This window comes from Homo sapiens, chromosome X, assembly GCF_000001405.40.
Source record: "Homo sapiens chromosome X, GRCh38.p14 Primary Assembly".
In the NCBI taxonomy this organism is placed as follows: Eukaryota; Metazoa; Chordata; class Mammalia; order Primates; family Hominidae; genus Homo; species Homo sapiens.
Genome location: NC_000023.11, coordinates 83671847 through 83680806, shown reverse-complemented (window position 1 = coordinate 83680806; position 8960 = coordinate 83671847).

Genomic DNA, 8960 nt, shown 5'->3' with positions numbered 1-8960 from the left:
TACAAACATCTTTATTTAGACTACCACATGGTTTGCAAAATGCAAGACGCAACAGTGAAAGACAGAGGGTGCCTATTGACAGATTTTTAAAGGTGTCCTTTTGCTCTTGAAATAATATGTAACAGCAATTAATCCAGGCTAAACATATGAAACTTTAAGTTGTATTAAATATTGTGTATATTTGTAGCTCCATATATACTAACCACAGTGACTTTTTTTTATTTTACTAATCTCTTTTGAGAAATGAATTGATAGACCCTGAGGAAAGAAAAATCAAAGTTCTCAGAAAATTATAGTAGGCATGGTTTTATTTTTGTAAAAGTACAGTATATGTTGGAATAGAAACGTGAATTAATTTGTGTAGCTCCTCTAGAGAAACACAGTAGTAATAACTGAAATTATAGAGAAGTACACTTTAACCCAAGGATATACTTCCTAGCAGTAAGAGTCATTTCCTTCAGGAGAAAGTGACTTTTCAATGATTAGAAGAGTTCAAGAAGAACCTGAATAACCAATGCATTAGATAAGCATACTTAATTCAGAGATCAGTGGATCTCAAACTGTGAGAAATTTTTAATTAGAGTACATTAAAATAAAAAGCTTTACACACACTGGGGCCTGTTGGGGGGCTGGGGGAGGGACAGCATTAGGAGAAATACCTAATGTAAATGATGAGTTGGTGGGTGCAGCAAACCAACATGACACATGTATACCCATGTATCAAACCTGCACGTTGTGCACATGTACCCTAAAACTTAAAGTATAAAAAAAAGAAAATAAAATTTTATGGTTTTATCATAAAAATAGATTAATCAAATGTAAAGCTCTTTTTTATTTAGATATTATGTTTTCTTTTTTTTTAAGGTGGGATTTTTATTTATTTATTTATTTATTCCTGGCTGAATTTTTTTTTATTATACTTTAAGTTTTAGGGTACATGTGCACAACGTGCAGGTTAGTTACATATGTATACATGTGCCATGTTGGTGTGCTGCACCCATTAACTCGTCATTTAACATTAGGTATATCTCCTAATGCTATCCCTCCCCCCTTCCCCCACCCCACAGCAGGCCCTGGTGTGTGATGTTTTCTTTATTTTTAGAAATAAAATGACCTTTATTTTATGAAACGATGACAATATATTATAATAATTGTGTAATAATTGTGGTTGTTGTGACTCTACATGACAACTAAAATATTAGAAACCATAACAGGAACACCTCTCTTTATTGTACTTTGCATTATTGCACTTTGCAGATATTGTGATAATTACACATTGAAGATTTGTGGCAACTCTGTGTCAAGTAGGTCTGTTGATGATAAATTTTAAACAACATATGTTCATTTTCTGTCTCTATGTCACACTTTGGTAATTCCTGCACTATATCAAAGCTTTTCACAGTTATTATATCTGCTATAGTGATCTGTGATCAGTGATTTTTAATGTTACTATTGTAATTGTTTTGGAGCTCAATTGTGCCCATATAACATGGAGAACTTAATCAACAAGTGTATGTGTTCTGAGTGAGCAGCTGACTAGCTTTTCCACTATGTCTTTTCCTCTTCTTGGGATACCTTATTTCATGACACACAATAGTATTTAAATGAGACCAATAATAAACTTAAAATGACCTCCATGTGTTCAAGTGTAAGGAAGAGTAGCATATCTTTCACTTTACATCAAAAGTTAGGAATGATTAAGCTTAGTGAGAGTGAGGAAGGCAAATTGAAAGACAAGATAGGCCAAATTATAGGCTTTTAACCCCCAAACAGCCACATTTTGAATGCAAAAAAAAAAAATTCTTGAAGGCAATTAGAAGTATTACTCCAGTGAATACATAAATGTTAAGAAAGTGAAGTAGTCTTATTGCTAATATGGGGAAAGTTTTAGTGGTCTGAATAGAAGATCAAACCAGAAACAATATTCCCTTAAGCCAAAGTCTAATTCAGAGCAAGGACCCAATTCTCTTCAATTCTATGAAGACTGGGAAAGGTGAGGAAGCTACAGATGGAAAGTTTAAAGCTAACAGGTGTTAGTCCATGAGGTTTAAGAAAAAAGTCCACCTCTTCAACATAAATGTGCAAAGAGAAAAAACAAGTGCTGATGCAAAAGCTACAGCAAGTTGTCCAGAACAAATAGCTAAGATTATTGATGAATATAGTTACACTAATTAACCAATTTTAAGTTTAGACAAAACATCTTTGTACTGGAAGAAGATGCCATCTAAGTCTTTAATCGCCAGAAAGGAGAAATCAATGCGTAGCTTCAAAACTTCAAAGGACAAGCTGACTCTCACATTAGGCATTAGCAATCTTGGTGACTTTAAGTTGAAGACAATGCTCATTTACTATTCTGAAAATTGTAGGACCCTTAAGAAATATGATAAATCCACTATGCTTGTGCTCTATGAGTGGAACAATACAACAGTTTAAAACATTGGGATACTGAATATTTTAAGCCTACTGTTGAAACCTACTGCTCAAGAAGAAAAAAGAAGATTCCTTTCAAAATATTACTGCTCATTCATAATGCACCTGGTCAACCAAAAGCTCCACTGGGGATATACAAAGAGATTCATGTTGCTTTCATGCCTTCTAACTCAATATAAATCTTGCCACTCATGAAACAAGGAGAACATTTGACTTTCAAGTCTTATTTAAGAAATATATTTCAAAGGCTATAGATGTCGTAAATAATGATTCATCTGATGGATCGGGACAAAGTAAATTGAAAATCTTTTTGAAACTATTTAACATTTTAGATATCAATAAGAACATTTCTGATTCATGAGAAGAGGGTAAATTATCAGCATTAACAGGAGTTTGGAAAAAGTTGATTACAAGTCTCATGGATAACTTGGAGGGATTCAGACATAAGTGCAGGAAGTCACCATAAATGTGGTGGAGATAGCAAGAGAACTAGAATTAGAAGTGAAGCCTAAATATCTGACTGAATTGCAGCAATCTCATATTGAAACCAGAATAAATTAAGAGTTACTTCTTATAGATGAGCAAAGAGATTTCTTGAGCTGGAATCTACTCCTGGTGAAGATACTGTGAATATTTATAAAATAACAACAAAGGATTTAGAATATTAAATATACTTAGTTGTTCAAGCAGTGGCAGGGTTTCAGAGAATACACTCTAATTCTTTTTTCTTTTCCTTTTATTCTAACCTCCACCCTCAAGTAGATGGTGGTGTCTTTTGTACCATTCATCACAGCCATGTGTACTCATTGTTTAGCTCCCTCTTAGAAGTGAGAACATGTGGTATTTGGTTTTCCGTTCCTGGGTTGATTTGCTAGGATAATGGCCTAGAGCTCTATACATGTTGCTACAAAAAACATGATTTCATTTTTTTGGCTGCATAGTATTCCATGGTGTATATGTACCACATTTTCTTTATCCAGTTCACCAATGATGGGCATCTAGTTTTGTTCCATGTCTTTGATCCTGTGAATAGTGCTATGATAAACATACTAGTGCGTGTGTCTTTTTGGTAGGACAATTTATATCACTTTGTGTATATAACAAGTAATAGGATTGTGGGGTTGAATGACAGTTCTGTTCTAAGTTGTTTGAGAAATCTTCAAACTGCTTTCCACAGTGGCTAGACTAATTAAATTTCCACAAGCAGTGTATAAGTATTCCCTTTTCTCTACAACCTCTCCAGCATGTGTGTATTAGTTAGTTCTTGTATTGCTAAAAGAACTATGGGAAACTGGGTAATTTATAAAGAAAAGAGGTTAAATTGGCTTATCATTCCACCAGCTGTACAGAGAGCATGGCTGGGGAGGCCTCAGGAAACTTACAATCATTACAGAAGGTGAAAGGGAAGCAAGCATGTCTTATGTGTCTGGAGAAGGAAAAAGAGAGAGCAGGGGGAGGTGCTACATACTTTTAAACAACCAGATCTGGTGAGAACTCACTCACTATTATTAAAACAGCATGCGGGAAGGCCATCCCCATGATCCAATCACCTCCCACTACCCCCTCCTCCAACACTGAAGATTACAATTCAACATGAGATTTGAGAGGGACACAAATCAAAACCATACCAATCTGATATTATGTGACTTTTTAAAAATAGCTATTCTGAATGGTATGAGATAGTATCTCATTGTGGTTTTGATTTGCATTTCTCTAATGATTAGTAATTTTGAGTATTTTTTCATATGTTGGCCACATAGTATATCTTCTTTTAAGAAGCATCTGTTCATGTTTTTGCCCACTTTTTAATGGGGTTGTTTATTTTTCACTTGTTTATTTAATTTTTAAATAGATTCTGAATATTAAACCTTTGTTAGATGCATAGTTTGCAAATATTTATTCCCATTCTGTAGGTTGTCGGCTTACTCTCTTGATAGTATGTTTTGCCATGCAGAAGGCTCTTTAGTTTAATTAGCTCTCATTTATCTAGTTTTATTATTATTATTATTTTGCAATTGCTTTTGGAGACTTTGTCATGAAATCTTTGCCAAGACTTATGTCCAGAATGGTATGTCTTAAGTTTTCTTCTAGGGATTTAATACTTCCAGGTTTTACATTTAATTCTTTAATCTATCTTTTTTTTTCTTTTTTGGAGATGGGATCTCACGCTGTCACCCAGGCTGGAAGTGCAGTAGTGCCATCTCAGCTCACTGCAACCTCCACCTCCCAGGTTCAAGTGATTCTCTTGCCTCAGCCTCTTGAGTAGCTGGGATTACTGTAATGCCTCACAATGCCTGGATAATTTTTGTATTTTTAGTAGAGATGGGGTTTCACCATGTTGGCCAGGCTGGTCTTGAACTCCTGACCTCAAGTGATCCTCCCGCCTCAGCCTCCCAAAGTGCTCGGATTACAGGCGTGAACTACTGTGCCTGTTCAAGTCTTTAATTGCTCTTGAGTTGATTTTTGTATATTTTGAAAAACAGGTGTCCAGTTTCAGTCTCCTGCATATTCCTAGCCAATTATCCCAGCACCATTTACTGAATAGGGAGTTCTCTCTCCATTGCTCGTTATTGCCAGCTTTGTCAAAAATCGGATAGTTGTGAGTGTTCAGCTTTACTTCTGGGTTCTCTAATCTGTTTCACTGGTCTACATGTCTAGATTTCTATCAGTGCCATGCTGTTTTGATTACAATAACCTTATATTATAGTTTGAAGACAGGTATATTGGGGCCACGAGCTTTGTTCCTTTTGCTTAGGATTGCCTTTCTTATTTGGGTTATTTGTTGGTTTGATATGAATTTTAGAATAGTTTTTTCCAATCATGTGAAAAATGACATTGGTAGTTTTATAGAAATAGCATTGAACTTGTAAATTGTTTTGGGATGTATGGCCGTTTTTACAATATTGATTATTCCAATCCATGGGTATGGATTGTTTTTCCATTTGTTTGTGTCATTCATGATTTCTTTCAGAAGTGTTTTGTAGTCCTTTTTGCAGAGAACTTTCGACTCCCTGGTTAGATGTTTCACTAAATATTTTATTATTTTTGTGGCCATGGTGACTGGAATTGAATTCTTGATTTGGCTCTCAGTTTTGACATTATTTGTATATAAAAGTGCTACTGGTTTTTGTATATTGATTTCGTTTCCTGAAAATGTACTAAAGTTGTTTTTGTGATCTAGAAGCCTTTGTGCAGAGATTATGAGGTTTTCTAGGTATAGAATCATATCATCTGAGAAGAGAGATAGTTTGAATTTCTCTAATCCTGTTCGGATGACTTTTCTTTATTTGTCTTGCCCAGCTGCTCTGGCTAAGTCTTCCAGTACTATGTTGAATAGCAGTGGTAAGAGTTGGTATCTTTGCATTTGGCCAGTTGGCAGAAGGAATGTGTCCAGCCTTTGCTAATTCAGTATGATGTTGGCTGTGGGTTTATCATAGGTGGCTCTCATTATTTTAAGGTATGTTCCTTTAATGCCTAGTTTGTTGAGGGTTTTTAATATAAAGTGATGTTGAATTTTATTGAAAACCTTCTTTATGTCTACTGAGATGATGAGATTTTTGTATTTACTTATGTTTATGTAATAATTGTCATTTATTGATTTGCATATGTTCAACCAATCTTGCCTCCCGAGAGTAAAGCCTACTTCATTATGGTAGATTAGCTTTTTGATGTGCTGCTGAATTTGATTTGCTAGTACTTTGTTAAGGATTTTTTGCCTAAATTCATCAGGGATGTTGACCAATAGCTTTATTTATTTGTTGTGTCTTTGCCAGGCTTTTGTATTGCTGTGATGTTGGCTACAACTATCTGATCTTTGACAAACCTGAGAAAAACAAGCAATGGGGAAAGGATTCCCTATTTAATAAATGGTGCTGGGAAAACTGGCTAGCCATATGGAGAAAGCTGAAACTGGATCCCTTCCTTACACCTTATACAAAAATCAATTCAAGATGGATTAAAGACTTAAACGTTAGACCCAAAACCATAAAAACCCTAGAAGAAAACCTAGGCAATACCATTCAGGAAATAGGCATGGGCAAGGACTTCATGTCTAAATCACCAAAAGCAATGGCAACAAAAGACAAAATTGACAAATGGGATCTAATTAAACTAAAGAGCTTCTGTACAGCAAAAGAAACTACCATCAGAGCGAACAGGCAACTTACAAAATGGGAGAAAATTTTTGCAACCTACTCATCTGACAAAGGGCTAATATCTAGAATCTACAATGAACTCAAACAAATTTACAAGAAAAAAACGAACAACCCCATCAAAAAGTGGGCAAAGGACATGGACAGACACTTCTCAAAAGAAGACATTTATGCAGCCAAAAAACACATGAAAAAATGCTCATCATCACTGCCCATCAGAGAAATGCAAATCAAAACCACAATGAGATATCATCTCACACCAGTTAGAATGGCAATCATTAAAAAGTCAGGAAACAACAGGTGCTGGAGAGGATGTGGAGAAATAGGAACACTTTTACACTGTTGGTGGGACTGTAAACTAGTTCAACCATTGTGGAAGTCAGTGTGGCGATTCCTCAGGGATCTAGAACTAGAAATACCATTTGACCCAGCCATCCCATTACTGGGTATATACCCAAAGGACTATAAATCATGCTGCTATAAAGACACATGCACATGTATGTTTATTGCGGCATTATTCACAATAGCAGAGACTTGGAACCAACCCAAATGTCCAACAATGATAGACTGGATTAAGAAAATGTGGCACATATACACCATGGAATACTATGCAGCCATAAAAAATGTTGAGTTCATGTCCTTTGTAGGGACATGGATGAAATTGGAAATCATCATTCTCAGTAAACTATCACAAGTACAAAAAATCAAACACCACATATTCTCACTCATAGGTGGGAATTGAACAATGAGATCACATGGACACAGGAAGGGGAACATCACACTCTGGGGACTGTTGTGGTGTGGGGGGAGGGGGGAGGGATAGCATTGGGAGATATACCTAATGCTAGATGACGAGTTAGTGGGTGCAGCGCACCAGCGTGGCACATGTATACATATGTAACTAACCTGCACAATGTGCACATGTACCCTAAAACTTAAAGTATAATAATAAAAGAAAAAAATAAATAAATAAATAAATAAAATAAAAAGTAGTTAGAAAGTAAAAAAAAAGAATGAGTTAGGAAGGATTCCATTCTCCTTGATTTTTTGAAAAAGTTTCAATACGATTTGTATCAGTTATTCTTTATACATCTGGTTGTATTTTGTTGTGGATTTATCTGTTCCAGAGCTTTTCCGATTTTGTAAGATTGTATTATTTATTCAATTTCAGGACTCCTTATTGATATGTTCAGGATTTTAATTTCTTTCTGGTTCAAACTTGGGAGGTTGTATGTTTCCAGGAATTTATCAATTTCTCTCAGATTTTCTATTTTGCATGCACAGAGGTGTTCATAATAGTCTCTGAGAGGTTTTTTGTATTTCTTTGAGGTTCATGATAACATCACCTTTGTGGTTTCTGACTGCATTTATTTGGATCTTCTATCTTATTCTTTATTAATTTAGCTAGCTGTGTATAATTCTTATTTATTGTTTCAAATAACAAACTTTTGCTTTTGTTGACATTTTGTATCTGTTTTCCTGTCTGAATTTTGTTTAGCACAGCTCTGGTTTTGCTTATTTTTTTTCTTCCGCTATCTTTTATGTTAGTGTATTACTCTGTTTTCATGCTGCTGATAAAGACATACCTGAGACAGGAAAGAAAAATAGGTTTAATTGGACTTACAGTTCCACATGGCTGGAGAGGCCTCAGAATCATGGCAGGAGATGAAAGGCACTTTTTACATGGCGGTGGCAAGTGAAAATGAGAAAGAAGCAAAAGCAGAAATCCCTGATAAACCCATCAGATCTCATGAGACTTATTCACTACCACAAGAGTAGCATGGGGAAAACTGGCCCCATTATTCAATTACCTCCCTCTGGGTCCCTCCCACAACATGTGGGAATTCTAGGAGATAAAATTCAAGTTGAGATTTGGGTGGGAACACAGCCAAACCATATTATTCCACCCCGGCCCCTCCAAGCCTCATGTTTTTACATTTCAAAACTAATCATTTCTCCCCAATAGTACCCAAAGTGTTAACTCATTTCAGCCTAAACCCAAAAGTCCATAATCCAAAGTCTCATTTGAGACAAAGCAAGTCTCTTCCGCCTATAAGCCTGTAAATCAAAAGCAAGCTAGTTACTTCCTAGATACAATGGGGGTACAGGTATGGGGTAAATACAGGCATTCCAAAAGGGAGAAATTGGCCAAAACAAAGGGGTTATGGGGTCTATGCAAGTCCAAAATCCAGCAAGGCAGTCAAATTTTAAAGCTCCAAAATGATCTCCTTTGACTACAGTTCCCACATCCAAGTCATGCTGATGCAAGAGGTGGGTTCCCATGTTCTTGGGCAGCTCTGCCCCTGTGTCTTTGTAGGATACAGCCTCCCTCCTGGCTGCTTTCATGGCCTGGCTTTGAGACTCTGCAGCTTTTCCAGG